The sequence below is a fragment of the Homo sapiens genome, chromosome 8, assembly GCF_000001405.40.
Source record: "Homo sapiens chromosome 8, GRCh38.p14 Primary Assembly".
Classification (NCBI taxonomy): domain Eukaryota; kingdom Metazoa; phylum Chordata; class Mammalia; order Primates; family Hominidae; genus Homo; species Homo sapiens.
This window is the reverse complement of record NC_000008.11, coordinates 141,374,046-141,394,844: the sequence shown is the minus strand read 5'-3', so window position 1 is coordinate 141,394,844 and position 20,799 is coordinate 141,374,046. Positions and strand designations below refer to the sequence as shown.

General features: G+C 59.4%; 1 protein-coding gene and 2 long non-coding RNA genes across 7 annotated transcripts in view, besides 5 other annotated features; 1 reads left to right on the top strand and 2 right to left on the bottom strand.

The window, feature by feature from the left end:
* PTP4A3 (protein tyrosine phosphatase 4A3) overlaps window positions 1–2,824 on the bottom strand; it is a 40,434-nt gene extending 37,610 nt beyond the window's left edge. For all 5 annotated transcript variants that reach the window (NM_032611.3, NM_007079.4, NM_001438243.1 and 2 more), the window contains exon 1: window positions 2,761–2,824. The gene's annotated coding sequence lies outside the window, so the exon portion shown is untranslated. The remainder of the gene's footprint in view (window positions 1–2,760) is intronic.
* Window positions 2,224–4,977, top strand: ASTILCS (antisense transcript of PTP4A3, liver carcinoma survival associated). The gene is made up of 2 exons (NR_187488.1): window positions 2,224–2,437; window positions 3,694–4,977. It is a non-coding gene; the product is annotated as an antisense transcript of PTP4A3, liver carcinoma survival associated (long non-coding RNA).
* Window positions 3,132–3,752: an enhancer, noted in NCBI's record as "H3K27ac-H3K4me1 hESC enhancer chr8:142401193-142401813 (GRCh37/hg19 assembly coordinates)". NCBI's record gives its function as "activates a minimal SCP1, AML or CMV promoter by ChIP-STARR-seq in primed H9 embryonic stem cells {active_cell/tissue: H9 hESC(primed)}" and the evidence as "EXISTENCE:reporter gene assay evidence [ECO:0000049][PMID:30033119]".
* Window positions 10,105–10,722: an enhancer, noted in NCBI's record as "H3K27ac-H3K4me1 hESC enhancer chr8:142394223-142394840 (GRCh37/hg19 assembly coordinates)". NCBI's record gives its function as "activates a minimal SCP1, AML or CMV promoter by ChIP-STARR-seq in naive H9 embryonic stem cells {active_cell/tissue: H9 hESC(naive)}" and the evidence as "EXISTENCE:reporter gene assay evidence [ECO:0000049][PMID:30033119]".
* On the bottom strand, window positions 12,536–20,629 carry LOC101928037 (uncharacterized). The gene is made up of 3 exons (XR_007061125.1): window positions 20,410–20,629; window positions 16,799–16,923; window positions 12,536–12,765 (listed from the first exon to the last, which is right to left on the bottom strand). It is a non-coding gene; the product is annotated as an uncharacterized LOC101928037 (long non-coding RNA).
* Window positions 17,516–18,290: an enhancer, noted in NCBI's record as "H3K4me1 hESC enhancer chr8:142386655-142387429 (GRCh37/hg19 assembly coordinates)". NCBI's record gives its function as "activates a minimal SCP1, AML or CMV promoter by ChIP-STARR-seq in naive H9 embryonic stem cells {active_cell/tissue: H9 hESC(naive)}" and the evidence as "EXISTENCE:reporter gene assay evidence [ECO:0000049][PMID:30033119]".
* Window positions 18,291–19,066: an enhancer, noted in NCBI's record as "H3K27ac-H3K4me1 hESC enhancer chr8:142385879-142386654 (GRCh37/hg19 assembly coordinates)". NCBI's record gives its function as "activates a minimal SCP1, AML or CMV promoter by ChIP-STARR-seq in naive H9 embryonic stem cells {active_cell/tissue: H9 hESC(naive)}" and the evidence as "EXISTENCE:reporter gene assay evidence [ECO:0000049][PMID:30033119]".
* Window positions 19,067–19,841: an enhancer, noted in NCBI's record as "H3K27ac-H3K4me1 hESC enhancer chr8:142385104-142385878 (GRCh37/hg19 assembly coordinates)". NCBI's record gives its function as "activates a minimal SCP1, AML or CMV promoter by ChIP-STARR-seq in naive H9 embryonic stem cells {active_cell/tissue: H9 hESC(naive)}" and the evidence as "EXISTENCE:reporter gene assay evidence [ECO:0000049][PMID:30033119]".
* Window positions 20,630–20,799: the final 170 nt, after the last annotated feature.

The following is a 20,799-nucleotide window of genomic DNA, read 5'->3' as shown; positions in this document are numbered from 1 at the left end:
ACCTCCTCCTGCAGCCCACAGCCACTCCCACCCAACTCTGAACTGTGCAGAGAGGACGGGGCTCATCGGCCCTCGGACCTTGCCCAGGTCCCTGCCTATGGGTCCTGCGAGCCGGTCCAGGTCAGAAGGAGGGATGGGAAGTCTTTTTTACCTCACACATGTTCACCCGTGTGACCAAGCTTCACCACTGTCCTGCCAGGAAGACCTGTCATTGCTCCCATTTTACAGGTGTGGAAACGGAGGGGCAAGAAACCAAGTATCCAGCAAGACACTGGGAGGCCAGGCCCTCCTGCCTCTAGCCCAGCCTCGGGCTGCTGCACTTGCTAGGAAACACCACTGCAGGCAGGGAGGGGTGCCAGGGACCAGAGGGAGTAGGTGACAGCAAGGGCGGCCAGGGTGGAGGTGGGGAGAAACGGTGCTCTCGAGGTGAGAAAGCGCCCTGGGGTGGTCTGGGACAGTGACCATCTGGTTACAGCCTTTGGTCAGATTTGGGACCTTCATGGAACAAGGCAAGCCCAAGGTCTTGGGGGGCGAAAAATCACCACTATCTGCCAGCCCCAGGCCCAGGAGCTCCCAGCTCAGCCCCTCTGGCCAAATGCCACCTGGACACCAGCCTGGTACACTTTCCACTTAACTCACCCTTTCGCCAGGACCTGCCAACCAGGGAGAGGCCTCCCCAAGCTGTATCACCGCCATCTGGATGTAAGTCCCTAAGGAGGTCACGTGCATAGGCATTGGGCACCAGCGGACACTCTGCCCACCCTGGCGGTGAGAGGGAGGGCTCACACCAGCTTATGCCCCCCTCTCAGTCTGACTGTGTGCACCTCTGCCCAAGTCCTCAGCCAGTAAAGTCACGTCTGTGTAGCTTGGGAGTAGTTACACCACAGAAATTGGCCAATGCCAATTCAGGATTTGGTTAAGCATCTGTTAAGCATGCCCTCATGTCATCTTTGAGCCCAGCCACCCATGGTGCCTCCAAGACCTCCTCGCCATCCAAACTGCCCACTTGTCTGAGAAAGCTGCCCACCTCCCGGCCTTCCTCCTGCCTCCCATGTCCAGTGCCTGACTGCATCAGCCAGCCACCCTCACCATGTTCTGGGCTGTTACTTGGGACAGAGAGGGGACCAGCTGAGGCCCCCAGCCTTACTCCAGTGGTCAGCGCAAGCTTCCGGGAGGAGGGCAAAGGCAGAGAGGAGCAGGCAGCTGAGGAAACCACCTGGAGGCTGCATCTCATCCCCGCCTGCATTTTCTCCCATCACGCCGACTGCCTGCGGGGGCCTGTCCGCAACCTGCCCCGCTCAGCCAGCCAGCCATGCCCCATCTCCAGGTCCAGCATTGGGCCTGGCACAGAGTAAGTGCTTGGAGAACACGTTGGGGGTGTTGAGGGGTGACCAGCTCCCTAGCGGGGCTATTTGGAAACAGCCCAGGAATTCCTACACAGGGCAGCTTCTCCTCCTTCGTAACCACAGTGAGGGGGGCCGGCGTGGTGATGGGGAGATCCCCAATGCCTAATTCCACTCAGGTGACAGGTTCGGGGCCCATTTACAGCAGCTCCAACGCCCCCTTTGCAGATGGGGACAACAAGGCTCTGCTTAGCCCCGCAGGCTAGGGGCTGCACCAACTCCACCTTTGTGGGCCTCAGTCTCCTCATCTGAGAAATGGGGTTAACGAACTTCTTGGGAGGATTGCAGGAACTCAGTGAAGCACGGCTCTGCACAGGGCTGCCAGGCGGCTTCTGTCTGTGCAAGGCCACAGGCACCCTGTGTTCAGTGACCTCCTCTGGTCTGCAGCCGAGGACACTGCTCCAACCTGGGAGCAGGGCCCCCAGGGTCCACAGACTAGGTGGATGCCCAACACCCACCATCGTGTGCGGGGCACACCCCAGAGCCCGCAGGCAGAGAGAGGGGGTGCAGCACGTGCCTTTCTGTCTTGGCTGAGGGTGCCCGGGCACACACTGTGACCAGCTAGCCTGGACCTCACGCTGCCCTTGGAGCCGCTATCACAGAGGGCCAGGGAAGCCTCCCTCATAAAGGGCTTCCCTCCGGGAACCGGCAGGGTGAAACTGCTCTGCCCACTTGGAGCTAAGCATGCCACCACCCCACCCCTGGGCCACCAGCTGCCCAGGGGCGTGTCAGGAGTCACCCGTTTAATCCCTGAGGCACGTGGATCAAGGCTGCTGACCTGATTCTACCGGGGTGTGCTTGGAGGGCTGAGGCGCCGCCCGAGTCCCAACACTGGTATGGTCTGAGGCGGACTCCACCCGGCCTGAGACCTGACGCTCTGCTTTCCCCTGACCTCCACTGACATCTACGACCCGCCCTGGAGGCACGGAAGGCTGTGGGGTTCCAGCCCCCCAAACTGTGCAGCTGAGGAAAATGAGCCGTGAATGGGGGCAGAGCCAGATCCTGGGCGGGACCCTGCGCAGGATGAACTCAGGGTAGGAGGTCTCCCGCGCACCCAGAAACGGGAGCGGGTCACCCCCTTCCAGCCAGGGGTGTTCTGTGGCTCGCCTGGGGAAACAGCGGCCTCCTGAGGCTCGGCCCCGGCACGTGGCAGCCTCCAGGCCCACGTTCCCGCCGGATCGGCCGCCAGGCGCAGGGTCCCGGGACGCGCGGGCAGGGGGAAGGCGGCGGCCCTCCCGGCTGCGCGGCCCCGAAGCCGTGCCCGGAGCGGGCGGCGGGCTCGCGCGCGGACGGCCCCCCACGCGCCTCCACAAAGCGCCGCGCGCCCCCGCCCCGAGCGGGCGCGGAGGAGACTGACCTGGCGGTCCGGGCGGCGCCGGCACGACGGGTGGAGGGCTCGGGACGCGCGCGCCCTCGCGCACAGGCGCGGCCGCGGCTCCACCGGCTTAGGGCGCGCGCCGGACCCGCTGGGTCACGTGGGGGCACGGCCCAATGGGAGCGCTCCCCACGCCGCGGCCGCGCGCCCGCCGCCCCCGAGGCCGCCCCTGGGCTGGGAGGAGGCGGCTCCGGTCGCGCGGGCGGCCTCGGGGACTGACCTTGGCTCCTGTGCCTGCCGGGCGCCTAGGCCAGGTCGGCCTGGGGCAGGCGGGCGTCGGAGGGGCAGTTTTGAAGCCCGAGCGAAGAGGCAGAGGGCGGGATGCGGACGAAGCCAGGGAGTTCACGAAACTTCTGGAGTTCTCAGTTTCCCCCTAAGTCGACTGGGGCTAGGTCCCGTGCCGCCAGGCGGGCTGGCTGAGGGGATGGGCTGGGGCGACAAGACGGCAGCCGCCTGGCCCGGGTACTTGGGGTCAGACCGGCTTCGAGGCCCCCGGACCGCCGTGTTATCAGGACGGGTAGGGAGCCCACGGGACGCGTGGTGCTCAGAAGAGCGGGGAGGCGTGTGGACGGGGCCTGCCCGAGCTGCACCACCGCCTGCCTCCAGGCTGCGAGGCCCGCCCAGGCGAAGGCGGCATCTCAGCCTCTAGCCCTTGGGGACCTTGAGGACGTCCTCTTATGGGTCAGCCGTTCCTAGGGAGGCTTGTGGCTCCAGTTACTGGAAAAACCAGTGCTGGTTCACGCAGGAGGCCCCAGTACAGGGGGAAACAGAGGCAAGCTGGGGTCTCCCAGGCGGCCTCACCCACCCAGCCCTGTTCCATGCCAGTCCCTGGACCCTTGGCCCAGTCAGATGTTCAACTGCTCCAGCCCTGCCTCCACTTCCCTGAAAGATGCTTTTCCACCCATCCACCCTCAGCAGCCAGAGGGACCCCGGGAAGATGGGAGTGAGAGCTGCCTTCGTCTGCAAAAGTCTCCAGACACCACCTCACTGGTGAAGGCCAGAGACCCTAAACTGTCCCAAGACCACCTGACTGGGCTGCCTCCCTGCCACCTGGCTGCCAGCCTCTCTCAGAGCGCCTGCAAGCTATTCCTCCAACCCAGAGTTTCCTTCCCAGCTAAAGGCCTTTGCACCTGCTGTTCCTTCTGCCTGGAAGTTCACCGCAGACTATCCCAGGGCCTCCATCCTTCCCATTGCATGGTCCCCATCAGCTGCCGCCGCCTCTGAGAGCTCAGTCTCCACTGGCCATCCTGTCTCTCAGCCCACTGCACTCTCCACTCTGCCAGAAAGTCCCCCAATCAGTGACAACACAGGTCACGGTCCACACCTCACCTGGTTTGTCCCCAGTGCCCAGCATCTGGCACCGAGCAGGTGCGTGCAAATCCTGGACAGGTGGGCAAGCTGATGGTGTCCAGAGGCCCCTGGTCCTTAAGGGCAGGGGTGGGGATGGCTCAGAGGACATAACCTTGCAGACCCGGGTTCAAATCTGGGCTCCTCAGCTCATTTGGTCCTCACACAGCCCATGTTGGGAGAGCTAGTGTTCTCCCTGTTTTGCTGATGAGACACAGAGAAGGTCAGCAACTCCCGAAGATTGCCCAGCAAGTTGGGAGTAAAGCTGGTGCAATTCCCACGTTTAGCTGCTAAACAGGGTGTCCTGTACTTGGTGTGTTCAAGCAGAAATCCACACATGGGAAGGTCAAGGCAACATCCCTGGTACTCCAGCTTTGAGGTCCTAGGAAAAAGGGAACCTCCCATTAAATGCTTCTATTGCCGGGAAGTTCAGCACCTGTAAAAGCAGCCCCTTCCCGTTTCACTGTGGCTGCATTTTAATTCTTATTTTTTAAATGTTTAGCTTAAGGCCGGGCACAGTGACTCACACTATAATCCCAGCAATTTGGGAGGCTGAGGCGGGAGGATCACTTGAGCCTAGGAATTCAAGACCAGCCTAGGTAACATAGTGGGACCCTATCTCTACAAAAAATAAAAAATTAGCCAGTCATGGTGGCATGCTCCTATAGTCCCAGCTTGGAGATTGAGGTGGGAGGATCACCTGAGCCTAAGAGGACAAGGCTAGAGTAAGCCCTGATCCCGCCAGCACCCCAGCCTAAGTGAAAGAGCGAGAGCCTGTCTCAAAAAAGATAAAAAAAAAAAAAGCATTAATAAATAAATGTTTGGCTTCATCTAGCCTGAGCAGCACCAACACCCCCTGCCTGTTTCATGCTATTTTCCTCCTCTCCTGCCCAAAATCTCAGAGAGGTTTCTATCCCAGCCACCCAAATTTGCTGGGGTGAGTGGGCTCCCGAGAGGCTGGAGCCTCCTTCCTCCCCACGCTCTTACCATCCTGCAGGGAGTCGGGAGCAAAGGAGGAGGCTCCTCCATGCTGGATTCATTTCAGTTCTCAGACATTCACCGAGTGCTGACCACATGCCAGGGACTTACACCCACCCACCAAGTCCACACTGAGCCCTGCAGAGGAATCCCTGACACCCCCATTTTGCAGATTAGGAAGCAGAAGCTAAGCGAAAGCAGAATCAAGATTCAAACCCAGGCACGGTGAAACCAGAGCTGTCCAACTGCTGTGAGTGGAATGGGCCGGGCATGAACAGGCTTGGGGAGAATCCTGGGATTTCATAGCCGGAAGAGAGCTCAAAGTGATCGTGTTTTACAGAGGAGAAAACGGGGCCTCAGAGATGATGGCTGAGCCGTGAAAAGGTGGGGTCAGAAGCCAGGCCCAGTCTCCTGAATTCCAGACTCCAGAATCTCCCCCAGGATTGAGGAATGTTCCACAGAAAGAATCCCAGCTCCACCTACCCCAGTCACTGGACCTGCCCAGCCCTGGAGGCATGGCCAGGAGGAGGCCCCCGCAGGTGGGGGATTGTTGGAGAGGGATGCCAACCATGCAGGACGATCTAGACAGTGGTGAGGCCCACTGGGGCTGGCAGGATTAGCAGATTAGCTCCAAGGAGGACAAAGACGAGGTCAGCGTTAAGTGGATTTCTGGAAAGCCTCCTCCAGCCCAGCAGGGCCCTACAGGAGGGGCCCAGGCTGGGGGACCTAGATCCAGCCACGGAGGGCATGGGTGGGCTAATGGCACCAGCAGCAGCTCTTGAGCCCCCATCACTGGGCTGCACACTTTGACCTCTCCTGGCCTCAGTTTCCCCATCTATAAATGTCATAGTAATAGCTCCAACCTCACAGGGCTCTTGGGAAGACCCACAAGATGGTGGCTGTCAAGTGCTGCGTTGCTTCTGCCTGCGCAGAAGTAGATGTCTTTATGACTGTCCTTTTGAATCCTCCTCAAGCCCTGAGCGTCAAACAAAATAAAAAAGAGCTTGTTGTTCAGTGGTTAGTTAGGTAAACAGGAGCGGGGTGCAGGAGTATACATCTAGGAAGAGAGTAAGTGTGCGGAACGATGCTCTCTGGGCCACTTCACGTCCCCTCTGTTCCCTGATTTCAGTGGCAGTGGCCCATTCTGAGCGAGCTTGGACCCTCCTCCTCAGTGCCTGCCTTCCGTGTGTACCAAGCCCTGAAGGGCAGAGGAGGGCCAGCCCTCCGCAGTGTGGCAGGGCTCTGGCGGATACACCTGCCTCCCATCTGCAGAAGGACCTTCCTCAGGTGTCCGGCACACTTCTCAGGAGGTCCTGAAACCAGCTGAGACCTCCATAACACACCTGTGTTGGCTCCCTCACCTGGTCATCACAAATAAACCACCTGCACCAATGTCCCTATCTCAGGCTCTGCTATCGAGGGAACCAGCGTAAGCAGCCACGCCCCTGATGCGAAGAGGAAGCAGGGCTTGAGGGAGGCCAGGACTCGGGGGATTGGCGTGCAGGAGCTGGGAAAGTCATTTTCATTTCCCTCCTTCCCCTAGTTTCGTTAATGCAGCCACGCTACTGTGATGGTGACATTTTCATTTGTGTATTAGTTGTGCCTGTAAAACCTGCTCTCTCTCCGCGTCTGTGGTCAAGAGTTCTGAGTGGCTGGGCGGGGCGGTTCTCTGGCTGGGGTCTCATGAGATGCAGTCAGATGGCCAGGGTTCCAGACATGCAAGGGCCCGACTGCGGCTGGGGGATCCCCTTCGGAACCCTCTCACTGTCCCAGCTGGCCAGGCCATGCAGGTTATTAGCTGCTGCTTCAGAGTCTTCCTCAAGACGCCCCTCTGTAGGGATGCTTGGGTGTCCTCCCAGTGCTGGGGCTGGCCTCCCCCACAAGGAGCTACCCAGGAGAGCAAGACACGTGTGATCTGACCTCAGAGGCCACCCAGTGCCACCTCACTGTGTTCTGTGGGGCACCCAGGCCTGCCCTGACTTGGTGTGGGCAGGGTGGGGCGGCTTCCCAAGCCTGCAGCTGGTGCCACCTACAAGGATGAGGGAAGGCCACTGCAGGCTGAGCTCCGGCCCCTTGGGGGCTGGGGTGGAGGTATGGCAGTGCCTGACCTGGACTTCTGAGACCACCAGTGAGGTAGGGTGTGGGAGTTTGGTGGGACACTGAGCTGGGACCTTTGCAGCAGTGGGGCTACCCTAAGCCTGGATGCTCTAGCTGTGTCGCCCATTGGCAGCTGAAAGCGCTCCTGGCTCCCCCTGCCCCTGAGTTTGGCAAACTTTCATTGAGCACCTGTGCCAGGCATCACTGGGACCTGCAGCGGGAGCCCCCCTAGACAGTGCTGCAGCTACTGTCGTGGGGGCATCCAGGAGGCACGTCCCAGGCACTGCATCTGAGCAGGGACCTGCCGGCCAAGCGTTCTTCCTGGAGGAAAGAGGCTGGAGCTCAGCAGGCAGGAGGGGCGCCTTGGCGGAGGGAGGATGGGGGAGTCAGCAGGGACCCTGTGGCCTGGTGCTGGGGTCCCAGGCAAGAGCTAGGGTGTCTCCTGGGGATGACGGGGCCTCCCTGGGGGTGACCGTGGCCAGGTGTCCCACCACACACAGCCCTGCTGGCCTCAGCCCCATCTGGCACCTGCCATTGCACTTGTGACCCCCAGCTCCTGGAGGACCACCGTCCATAGATGCTTCCGCCAGTGAGGAGGCCGGGACACCCACGCTGCGGCATTGAGGATGCCGGGAGGGTCGGGGCAGGCAAGCTTGCGAGGAGCGGGCCTCAGGCACGCCACACGGGCGCCCCCTCGTGGGGCCTGTGGGGCAGGGCCGCTGCACTGGGTACGAGCTGGGCACAGGTCACGGGCACCACCCTCAGCCCGGTTGAATGCTCTGCTGTTGCTGTAGGGCGACGTTGAACATTTTTGAATGAGAGGCCTGCATTTCCACTTTGCCCCAGGGCCCTGAAATTCTGTATCAGGTCCTGCCTGCGGGTCCCTACCTGGCTTCCTCATCTGCTGGGATTCAGGGGATACTCCAGCAAAAAGCGTCCACATGCCAGCCCTGCAGCACCCCATTCAGGGCAAGAGGCAGAGCCGCAGCCGGGGTCTGCTCCTCACCCCACAATCCCGGTGAAGGAGGATGCGATCTGCAAGCGCGGGGCCCTCCGCTCAGTCCTTTGAGGCTGAGTGTGTTCACAGCTTGACTGAGGCTCCCGCACACATGGCATGGCCAAAGGGAGACCTCTCGTGCGTCTGATGTGCCCCCATCCTGTGGCCCATCAAGGTGGGGTCCAGCTCCGTCCTCTCTGCACTGCAGGGTCCAGCAGAGCCGGCCTGGAGCGGCTGGTGGGGAAAGTAGAACCGTGCTCCCTGTCCGCCCCAAGAGCAGGGCTTTGGGACACCACAGCTGGGTGTGGCCTCAAGGGTGGTGGAGGGATCGGGGACTCTCAGAGCAGGCCTGGCAGCTGGTGGGTGTCGGGGGCTGGCCCAGCCACCACCCCCTACTTCCATCCATGGAGACTATGGCCCTGGGAGAGGCCTCCTCAGCACCCAGGGCTCCCAGGGGTCAGGACCCTCCCCCAGAGATCAGCCTGGAAGGGCCTGTCCTTTCACCCCCACCAATGCAGGGAGAGCCTGCTCCATGAGTTGCCCCCACCAGGTCCTGAGACCCAGAGCAGAAGCCCTCCCCAGCTGCAGCCCAGACCACTGGCAAGTGGGGAGTGACAGGCTGGTCTGCAGGAAGACCCCCAGCTGGGCCTCAGCAAGCCCGCCCCTCAGTGTGACTTAGGAAAACCTGTATCTTCAGAGGGGGAGACCCCACGGGAGGTCTCCAGGGAGAGTGGGGAGTGGCCTTCCACCGGGGCCTGCCCAACCCCCCGACCCACACAGGTTCAGAACGCCGCTCTCCCCTGTACCCCTGGCCCACCAGGGACCCAGGAGTGAGGCTCCTGCCTCCTGTCCTGAAGCCCTCACGTGTACCTCTGGGCAAGGGTATTGACAGAAGGCTTTCATCCCACCTTGTTTTCTGGGGACCTCTTAGACCCTGGAGGGGCCCACAGGGCTCAGAGACCCTTGCCAAACCAGGAAAATGACACTGTTTCTGGCATTGAAGTTCCCAACCCTCAATCCAAGAACAATTTGGAGAATTTGTGATGAGGCTGTTTCTCCTGTTTTTTCCAGATTCAGTGAAGGTCCCTGAGCTGAGGACGAGAGAGGAGAGATGATGAGGAAGGCAAAGAGGAGACAGGGGGAGGAGAGCGAGGAACAGAAGGAAGAAGGGGAGGAGGGAGAAGGGAAAAAGAGGGAGGGAGGGGGAAGGGAAAGAGAGAGAGGGAGGGAGAAAGGAGGGAGGAGGTGAAGGGGAAGATGAGAAGGGGAGGAGGCAGAAGATGTTCTGGGAAGGGACAAGAGACGGGCCTGGTGCCTGGGCCCCACGCCTCCCGTTCCTCAGCAGATGAGGCCTGTTGGGAGGCTGAGGAAGGGAGATTGGTGTCCCCACAGGGAGCAGAGCAGGGCTGAATCTAGGGATGCAACAATGCAGAGGGTCCAAATGTCCCCACCAGGCCCAGAAGAGGGCGGGGGCAGCTGGCCCCACCCAGGGACCCAGGCTCAGGCAGGCTGTGCACTGCCCAGCAGCAGGGAACGTGGGGCCAGGGCCTCCATGCCTGATGTGTGCTGAGCCTGCATGCTGAGCCCTCCATGGGGAGCCTGGTGGGGGACAGAGGGCAGCCACAGAACAAGTGACCCTCCCTGGAGGTCGTGGGGCCCAAACACTGGATGCTGCCCAAGACACGGCAGGTCCAGGCTGAGGAACCTGAGGTCCCGACCCTCTCACGTGGGACAGGGCCTGCAGGAGGCAGCCTCCAGGCCCCCCGAACCTGACAACCCCTCATCCTCCTGGCGTGTGGGTCTGTCTTCTCCACTGGCCTGGGATCCATCCACAGTTGCCATCTCCCTCGTCCCCACCAGTGGGCACTCAGGGACAGGAGTTGAGTGAGGCTCCATGTGAGATGCAGGGAACACAGGCACTGGTGGGGGCAGCACAGCTTGCTGGAGTCCCAGCTTCCTGGCCGCTCTGGAGTCAAGGAAGGCTGTGGGTCTCATACCACGTCCTCAGGGCTGCTGACCACCCTCCACGGGGGCCTTTATCCCAGGAAAAATCCCTCATTCCCGGGAAGCTACCATTGCCAAAAATATGGCCTGACAGGCACCCGTCTGACAGGTGCTCCTCAAGCACCCATCCGCGGACACATGCTGAACCCATACGATGCTCTAAACGGGGCGTGCACACTGCAGCCCTCTCAGCACAGGGGCCATGCACCACCAGTTACCAGGATAATCCCTGTGGATGTCGGATTACAGCCTGCTGGGCTGGAGAAGTGGCTGCCCTCAGCAGGGCGCGTGCCTCCCCAGTCATCCCAGTCCCCCTCTGCAATGACAGAGCCCCAGGGAGCTGCAGAGAAGGGGATTTCTTCTTGCAAACAAAACCCCACAGGGAGCCCCAAGATCTAGCTCTAGTTTATTCCTCTATCCAGCAAGCATCAGTCAGACACCTTCTGCCTGCCAGGCCTGTGCCAGGACAAGGCGACACCAGACCCTGTCCTCCGGCCACATCAGGGAGGGGTTGGCGAACAAGGGAAGGAACAACAGGAAGGTGCCAGTGGAGAGGCCAGGCGCGTGCCATGGCGGTGGCAGTCCTCCTTCCTGCAGATCACCCAAAGCCAAACAGCAAGGAAATGCAGGCGCGGGGAAGCAAAGCCAGGAGCCCCTGATGCCCATGCTGTTAGCCACCCATCCACCTGGGTGCAGAAGATGCTCTCGGGGTTCACACTGAGAGACAGGCTGGAGCTGGGCGATGGCCCAAGTGAGTTCGGAACAGGCTGTGGGGCAGGGGCACTCCCACATCTCCAGCAGGGCTTAGAGAACAGGCAAAAGTGGATTCCGATCTCGGCAAGGCAGCGAGTATCCCCTCCTTGGAGGATAACCGAGCCTCTCTGGGGAACTCCTGGGGTGGTAGACGGGAGAGGAGATTTCTCACCGGAGGGGAGACCAGCCTGCTGTCCTGGGCTCGGGAGCAGCTGAAACTCCTTTTGGGGAATGCTCTTGGGAGCTGATTTATAAGGCACAGGAAGAGCCCCGTGTGGTGCAGCCCCACCCCGCTTGTGTCCAAACACAGCCTGTTGCTGTGGACACCCTCACCTCGCTCCTGGCCCAGGGAGGGGCGACTTGCCAGGGCACACAGAGCCCCCTACCAGGAGCCAGCCTGATCCCTGACCTCTGACCCTGGGAGCATGTGGGAGGTGCTGGCTGAGGAAGCAAAACTGCCAGTGTGGCGTCCATCACACTTTCCACATGTTTTAGCAGCAGGGTGTTTGTTTGTTTGTTTGTTTGTTTGTTTAAGAGACAGGGTCTGGCTCTGTTGCCCAGGCTGGAGTGCAGCGGTGCGAGCATGGCTCACTGCAGCCTTAAACTCCCGGGCTCAAGCGCTCCTCCTGCCTCAGCCTCCAGAGTAGCTAGGACTGTGGCATGTGCCTCCACAGCTGGCTTAGCAGCAGATTTTTTCTTGCAAACAAAACCTCACAGGGAGGAACTCCAGGTTAGAGAACTAGCTTATTCCTATACTAGCAAGCATCAGCCAAACACCTTCTACGTGTCAGGCCTGCACAGGACAAGGTGATACCAGGCCCCGTCCTCCGGCCACATCAGGGAGGGGTCAGTGAACAAGTCAAGGAGCGACGGGAAGATGCTGTGAGCATGGCCAGGCGCGTGCAGGGGCAGCGGCTGCTTCCCCTCCCTGCAGAACACACCACCTAAGAGAGACACTGCTCATAACTGGAGATCAGCAACATGCCCAGTTCACAGAGAGGGAAACAGAGGCACGTTGGGAGCAAGTAACTGCGGAGGGGGATCAGTTATAGAAGGAATGCAATGGGATGAGGCCCAGGTATCTACCCAAAAGAATTAAAAGCCAGGACTTGGCTGGGTGTGGTGGCTCACGCCTGTAATCCCAGCACTTTGGGAGGCCGAGGTGGGTGGATCACGAGGTCAGGGGTTCGAGACCAGCCTGACCAACATGGTGAAACCCTGTCTCTACTAAAAATACAAAAATTAGCTGGGCGTGGTGTTGGGCGCCTGTAGTCCCAGCTACTCAGGAGGCTGAGGCAGGGGAATTGCTTGAACCAGGGAGGCGGAGCTTGCATTGAGCCGAGATCGCGCCACTGCACTCCAGCCTGGGTGACAGAGCGAGACTCCATCTCAAAAAAAAAAAAAAAAAAAAAAGCCAGGACTCAAACAAAAACTTGTATGTGAACACGCGTAGCAGTGCTGTTCACAATGACCAAAGCCAGGAAACACTCAAATGTCCGTCAACCATCACTGGATGAACAGACAAAGAAAAGGTGGCACATCTCAGCAGTGGAATAGCATGCAGCCATGAAAAGGAAGGACACTCTGATCCAGGCTGCAGTGTGGACGATTCTTGAGAAAATGAGGCTGAGTGAAAGAAGCCAGACACGACAGACTGTATATCACATGATTCCATTTATACAAAATGCCCAGAGTGGGCACATCATAGAGATGAGCACAGATTGTTGGTTGCCAGGGCTCGGCGGGAGGAATGGGGTTTCCCATTTCGGGTGATGGAAATGTTTTGGAAGCAGAGGTGATGGGGCTCCACCCTGTGAATGAAGGCGGGTTGCATACTTTAACATGGTGAATTTTGTGTTATGTGCATTTTTTCCCGAATAAGAACAGGACGCCGCTGTGGAGGGGAGAGACCGCTCACGGGGACTGGATGGCCAGGAAGCCACTGCTGTGTGCCAGGCCCCTTCCAGGCTTGGGGTCATGCCCCCTCATATTAGGCATGGCCACCACCACTGACTGTGGTCCTTGGAATGCGAGTAGAAGAGATGAATGTGATGGACACTTCAGGGACAAAGCTTTTAGGAACTGGTGCCCTGTTCTTCCACTCTCCCCCACCACAGGGGACCTGAGGCCTTGTGTTGAGACAGCACCGGCTGCAGGCAATGGCGGAGCCTCTGTCATTCAGGTCCCCGAGCCACCAAGGAGCAAGAGACCCATCCCCCACCACACCGACCAGCAATTCATGGCGTGAGCGAGACCCACACCTCCATCAATAAGGCCACAGAAGAATCAGGGGTGTGTGTGGCTGCAGCAAACCCAGATGGTCCTGGCCACCCACCTGCCCTGAGGGGCCAACATTTGAGCTCGGCCCTCAATGAGGTGAGCAGTGACCGGCCTAAAGGAAGAATGCTCCTGGCCAAGGGAGGAGCAGCGCGAAGGCCCCACAGCAGATGTGTGCCTGGTGTGTTCAAGGACAGTCAGGGGCCGGCAGAACCCGCAGTGGGAGGCACAGGCTATGGGGTGAAGCACTGTGCTTCCTCATCAAGGGGTGGGAGCCCCTGACGGTTTTCAGCAGGGAGGGATGCAATCAGATGTGGGCTCTAGGAGGACACTCTGCCATGTGGACACTGGGTACTTTGAGAAGCAAGTGACAGAATCCCAGGCTTCCCAGTGAGGAAATTTAGGAACTCACATAACGGGAAGTGCAGAGGGACTGTGGGCTCCAGGACAGGGTGACCACACCCAGCTGTGCCTCTCTAAGATTTTCCCCACCATCATTCTCAGGCAGGTTCCCCTCATGCTCACAAAAAGGCTGCCTGTCTATCCGGGGACAGGAGGGAGCTCAGAACCCACAATAAGCCTCTGGTCACCTGTCATTGGCCCAAAGCTGGCTAGGCTAACCCACCCTAAACCAATCACTGGCCAGGAGGAAGGGTAGCCAATCTGTGATTGGTCAGCAGTGACAATATAAAAGCCTCACAACCCAGCCATACAGAAAAGGCTTTGGGAGCTCAGACCCTCAGAAAGCCCAGCTCCAGCACTATTCAACCACTCGCCATAACTCCCCACTGCCTATAGGGCAGAGCACAAACTCCTGAGTATGGTATTCTAGGCTCTGTGTCTCTAGATGATTTCACCCTTGCAATGACCCTGAGAAGTTAATATGATTACTCCCTTGAGAGATGAGGCAACCGAGGTATGGGGAAGTTAAGTAACGTGCCCAAGGTCACTCAGCCATCAGGTGGTGGTGGCAGGACTCACACTCAGGCAGTGGCCCAGAGCCTCCTCTGCCCACACCGCCAGCATCTGACCAGCCCCCTCCATGGACGGCCATGGTATTTCAAGCCGCTGCCTGAGGTTTTCCCTGCGGGTCCTGCCGTTCACTCCATGGCAGGCACGTTTGCTCCCTGGTCTTCACAGAAAACCAATTCGGGCGTCCCCCACTCAAAAAGCCTTCCTGGGCTCACTCCACTTAGCAGCCTGAGGCCTCGCCTCAGCACTTCCCCTGTCCTGAGTGACCTCCAAGGCCTCGCCTGTGGGAACGAGAACGAGGACGAGGCTGGGAACAGGGCGACCTGAGACACTGTGTGGAAAGGACGCCCTGAAACCCCCATGGTCCCTGCCCTGTCTCCAGCCTCCCTGCCGCACCTGCAGTTTCTGCTGATGGCCCCAGTGTAAACACACCAAGGCGCGGGGAGAAGAAGTGTCAGCCCAGCCTTAAACAAACCTGCTCAGCCGGAGATGGGGAGCAGGCTCGCAGGCAGCATGGGCTCTGGCTGGAGGGATTTGGATGGGATTTAAGCAGGACTTGGTTTACAGAGGGAAAAAATAATTATCTACAAGGCCTCGGATAAAGTAAAGCCCATTTGTTCCTGAGTGAATGAAGGAACACGTGGAAACTGACGATGTCTACCTGGGACTGGGCTCAGACAGTTACTCAATGTGAGCCCAACTGGAGGCTGGCCGTGGGAAACAAGTGGGCTGACCCCCTGTATCCACTCGAACCGGCATCTCAGTGTGTGCGCAAGAGCCAAAGGCCGGCTCAGGCACAGCCACCCTGGCAGCACATCAGAATCATGGCAGAGTCCTTAAAATGCTGTGACCGGCCGGGCACGGTGGCTCACGCCTGTAATCCCAGCACTTTGGGAGGCCGAGGCAGGCAGATCATGAGGTCAGGAGTTCGAGACCAGCCTGGCAAACATGGTGAAACCCTATCTCTACTAAAAATACAAAAATTAGCCAGGCATAGTAGCGGGCACCTGTAATTCCAGCTACTCAGGAGGCTGAGGCAGGAGAATTGCTTGAACCCTGGAGGCGGAGGTTGCAGTGAGCCAAGATCACGCCACTGCACTCCAGCCTGGGAGACAGAATGAGACTCTGTCTCGGAAAAAAAAAAAAAAAAAAGTGCTGATGACCAGGTCTCTGCCCAGACCATTAAAGTCAGCCTCCCTGGGCCAGGCCCGGATGTCTGTGTTTGATGGGAACTCCCGGTGATTCTGATGCACAGGCAGCCATGGGCACACACGGGCTCACTTGACCCCACACAGCCACGGACCAGACCCAAACCACAACTGTTGCCTCATTTACTCCTCACACGGCCCCAAACATTGCTGTCCTCACTATGCAGATGGGGAAACTGAGGCACAGGGAGGCTAAGTAACTGCTTCTGGTGGGAGGCGGTGGGGCCCGGGTTGAGATCCAAATTTGCCATCCCAAAATGTCCCCATCACCCCGTTGATGAGTCATTTTTTGTTGCCTCCTCCCTCAGATCAGGGTCCCCAGGGCAGATACTGTCCTCATCAGACCTGCAGTCCTCAAGGCTGTGTCCTGCCTCCTGACTTGCTCCACAGGCGCCTGTGGGGAAGGGGCTGTGTGCTGGCATGGGTGGTCCTGGGTCTGAGTCCGGACTCTGCCCCCTGCCAGCTAGGTGGTCGGGGGTCCGCATCCCACGCCTCTGAGCTACAACCCCTGGGCCCCTTGGTAAGGGCTGGGTCCTGGCAGGCTTCAGGGTGGGGCGGGGGCTGGTTCCTGGGTCTGGGACTCTGGGGGAGGCAGCTCTGGTGGGCAGGGAGGTGTTTCACCCCTGCCCTGCCCCTGCCCAGGTGGAGGACATGACACATTAAGTATTCCCCCGGACGGTGGACAGTGCTGGGAGGCTTCCCTCACCCTGCCTGGCAGTCCCAACCAGATGGACCCAAATGCAGAGTGAGGAAGTGCAGAGCCCATGGCCCAGCTCCCAGCAGGAAGAACACTGAGCCAGGGGCAGCCTGGCCCTGAACACTTGTGGGACTTTGGCAATTACTATGCCTCTGGGCTTCAGGTTCTTCATGGATAAATTAAGGAGTCTGGACCCAATCCAGTCGGGGCCATGTTGCCTGCTCTGCTGGTCCACTGGGCCGGTTGCCCAGAGGGCCGGGGAGGGGGTGTCCATCCAGGCTCCTGGGGAGCAAGAGCCTCATTGATTGGTGACGCCTGCCCAGGACCAGCCAGGGATGAGGCAGGCGTGCGCCAGGGCTTCTCTCCTCCTGTCACCCTGCACCCACAACCTGGGAAGGGAAGTTGGCATTAAGCTACACATTTCTGCCTCTACTGATGTACAGGCCTGATGGTGATATGCAAGTGACTGAACAATTAGAGAGCAGAGGGGTTTCTGTATTAAAATTTTTAAATAAATTAATAATAAATACAAATCAGTGGAAAGAAGAAATTAACAGTCACCTGCTTTCTCCCGCCCAGAACTAATCCTTGCTAATGTCCTGCGAGGGTTGCTTCCAGTCACTCCAGGCAACTTTTTGCTGTTCTTTAAGGAAGAAAAGGACGTATGTTTATAGAACGGCACGAGCTCACCGTAAAGATGTCAAACACGGCCAGGATGTACAAAGGTGAAGGATGAAAGCCACCGGGACGCTGCTGCCTGGAACTAACCCCACACGGTGGTGGCCGGCCCCCCGGCAGCCTTCTCTGCCAGGGTCCTGGAGAAGGACAGATAGACACATGGTCAGCTGGACAAGTGAGGCGGATCTTCCACAATCCATTTCTCTTTGGATGTTGATGGGGCTCATCTGAGGCCCATCCCAGTCTCTCTGACAGAAATCTGCCCCTGAAGGAGGGTCTGGGGCATGGGGGCAGAGAAGCCCTTCCCAACAGCTGACCTGGCTCTAACTCTCCAACTCTCAGCGTGGCTTTGGGGGCTGCCTGCCCCATCTGCACTGAACGGGGCCGGACCACACCGTGGTTCTAACCCACGTGGGTTTTCAGACCCTTCACAGTCCCAATGGACCCTCATGGCACACACATGGGCAGTTGCACACACACAAAGTCTAGGGGTTCGTGAAGCCATTGGAGCTGCCCAGGACCCCAGATCCAAAACTCTGAATCAAAGGATGTTGCCCCCCCACCCACCCCAGCTAAAGGGACGAAAGATTCTAAGAGCTTCCTCTTGGAGAATATTTTCAAATGACCTGACTGTCCACCTGTCCCACACACAGGTGTCTGGTAGAAACAGAGGCTGGACTGGTGGCCAGGACCCCAGGGTCTTTGCTGGGTCTGAGAGGGCCACACCCCCTTCCCTACCCATGACCATGCCCAGTCTGCCCACTCCCCAGACACCCACAGGCGGGACACAGCAACCATCTGCTTCTAGACACGATCCCTCAGTAGCCCATCCCCAGCTGTCCTGCCCCTGCCCGCAGTGATAGGAGGCCCCACCCAGAACTGGCCTTTAGCCGTGACTCCCGCCTGAGACCTGCTGCCCCTCCCACCACCCACCAGTGGGGTCTCTCCTCCCTCCCCTCCAGGAAGCCCCACCTGCTCCTCCACCGACCGCCAACCTTAATCCCACCTGCCACACCAAGCAGGGCCTTTGGAGACGGGGCTCCCCCAGGTCTGGCTGGGGTCTGCAGAGTTTCTCACTTGCAGCCCTTGCACCCCATGGCCGGCCCTTGTGAGGAACAGCACAAGGTGGCTCCGTGCCCTGCTGCGGGGCCACTGTCATGAAGATACTGCCGTCACCACCATCGCTATCATGACGGCCAATTGTCCCTTTGTGTTTGTGGATCTGCTACCTAGTTTCCTGCCAGGCTCAAGGCTCTCACGCCCCCCACAGAGAAGGGCCTGAGTCGCAGGGTCAGGGAAGGCGCCCAGTCTGGGCACAAGGCTCATTTCCTGAGAGCAGGGTGGGGGGCGGGGGGAGTGGGGACTGGAGCCCAGAGTCCAGCTCATCAGAGGGAACACAGGGCCCAAAATCCAGACGTTCACCATGACCCTCTTCAAAAGCAGAGGCCCGAGCAGGATGGGAACCGGGGAGCTGGCCATCCAAAAGCACCCCGGCCATGGGCAGCCACCCTGCAGCCTGAGAACGTGCTTGCCCTACCCAGCCTCCCTCACCTCTTCCCTGAGCTTCAGCCGCTCCCAGGAATGTGCCTGCCCTACCCAGGCTCCCTCACCTCTTCCTGAGCTTCGGCGGCTCCCAGCCGCCCCCACCAGCTAAGCACCTTCCGGGCCTGCTCTCTGTCCTTCTGACACGCCTCATAAGCAGGAAGTGGCCTGGGGCCCTGCACGGGCAGGCCTGCTGGATCCCAGACCCCAGCAGCTCTACTGTGAGAAAGATGTGGGGAGAGCCTGGGAGGGGATGTGGGGAGCGCCTGGGAGGGGACTTTGAGCACCTCCCTATTCCTCACTGGAAAGAGGACCGCCAACCCCACCCCGGGACAAGGCGCAGAGGTCATGAGAAATGCCCTACGTAGGGCCACCTGGTCTATGAGAGGCCTTCTTAAGGGGGCCAGAGTAGATGGGGGGTAACCTGCATCGGGTTGAGTACCCTGACTGCTGACTCCAGCCAGAGGATGAGCCCTGATCTCGCTCGCACACTGAGCCCTGATCCCGCTTATGCACTGAGCCCTGATCCCGCTCACACACTGAGCCCTGATCCTGGCCACACACTGGTCCCCTACCCTGGTCACACACTGATCCTTGGTTCTAGTCACAGCCTGAGCCCTGATCCTGGTCACACAGTGAACTCTGACCCTGGTCACAGGCTGAGCCCTGACCCAGGCCTCACACTTGACCCCCCATATGGCCCCACGAGTTGGTCAGGACAGAGTCCAATGCTCTTGACTCCAAGTGAGCCAGCTGAGGCTCTGAGCCACGAAACCCTGGCCTTGGTCAGGGGCCATGCTGGGACCTGAGCCCGGGGCTTAGACTTTGAGCCTAGTTCTCACTCCCACCTCCAAAGCACCTGAGGACCTGGCCTCAGCTGGTACCCTGGAGGAGCAGTGACAGAGTTGGAGGAGGTAGCCCCTCCTGGATCAGCACCCATGGGGCTGGAGGCAGAGAGGGTCTGTGCCCCAGACAGTGAACAACAGCCGGTAGGGGTTCAGAACTAGGCAGAGCCAGGGCTGCCAGTGGGGGCTGAGCTCCCCTGGGAGGCCTCCAGGAAGACCGCTCAGGACAGAACAGGCCGATTTTAGGGGGTAGCAGAGACAGGGAAGGTACTTCCTTAGTGAGAGACTCCATAGCTCTTGGGACAACCTCAAACTGGGCCCCACCAGCAAGGGCTGGAATTCCGATCCCAAGGAGTCCTCGTCTCAGCCCCCAGGGCAGGTCCCGGCCACCCGCTGGTCCCTTCTCCAAGTCTCAGGTTTCTCGTCTGTAAAATGCAGGAGACAATCAGGTTCACAGTGGCTTGTAGAAACTTTTGAGGCTGTGTGCATTTCAGGGTCTGGCTCAGATTTTAGAAAGACAGTGAGATGCACCTAGCGGAGGTCACATACACCCCATGGGGTCTGGGAAGCACCTCCACCACACACACTGATACTTCTGCCACGAGCCTTATTGGTATGCCCACCGGGAGGGATAAATGGATGCTGAATACCCTCGGGTTGGGTCCAGTCAGTTTACGCGGCTGAGTGAGCTTGTGTCAAACCTACCTAAATGCTTCCCTGTCTCAGAGAAGTTTGGATTTCGGGGTCCTGGGCTGGGGCCTCAGCAGAGGCACGTGAGATCTGGTCTGCAGCCCCCGCCAGGGCCCCGCCTACCCTGTTGGGACCGCCCATTGGCGGGTGCCATCCACTCCCCTTTGCTCGGTTCCCAGCGCCCTCCCCCGCTTGCCAACCGGGAGAGTTGGCACCAGCCTTCCGGAACGTAACCTACCCCGCCAACAACAGCTTCCCTCCTCCCATTCCCGCGCACTCCTCCAGGGCGGCAGGCAGTCGGCAGAGGCAGCAGGCCTCTATAAATAGTGGCCCTGACTCCTCCACCGCCTCGCTGGGGTTGTACCCCCACTGCCCAGATGGACAGACCCAGGTCGGGAAGGAGACAGGCTGGGACTTGCCCAGGGCTCCCCTGGGAGGTAGGGGTCAGCCCTGGTGAGTAGGGGAGGAACCCACTGCAGGAGGGTCTCCGCACAGGGAAATGTGAGGCTCACAGCCATGGGAGCCAGTCCGAGGCCCTGGGCTCACCTGAATGGTTCAAATCCTGGCTCCACCTCTCAGTAGCTGGGTGGTTCCTCAGAGCTTAGTTTCCTTGCTTATGACAGTGGAGGTAACATCAGCGGTCCATCCCACTGCCGCCATCCCCCAGGACCACTGCATCCCTTTCACTTACTAAGAGATGGTCTCCTGGCCCCTAGGAGGAGAGGGCAGGGTGAGCAGGTCCAGCTCTTAGGAGCCAGAATGAGATGAAGCTGCTGCAGGAAGGACTAAGGTTAGAAACGGGAAAGAACTTCCTGTTCGTAAGAGCAGTGTGTGCCACCCCGGAAGGCTCTGTGGGAAAGTTTATACAGGCAGAAAAGGGGCCCAAGTGCCTGCAATGGGGCCATGGCAGCCTGGAGCCCTGCCCTTCCCACCCAT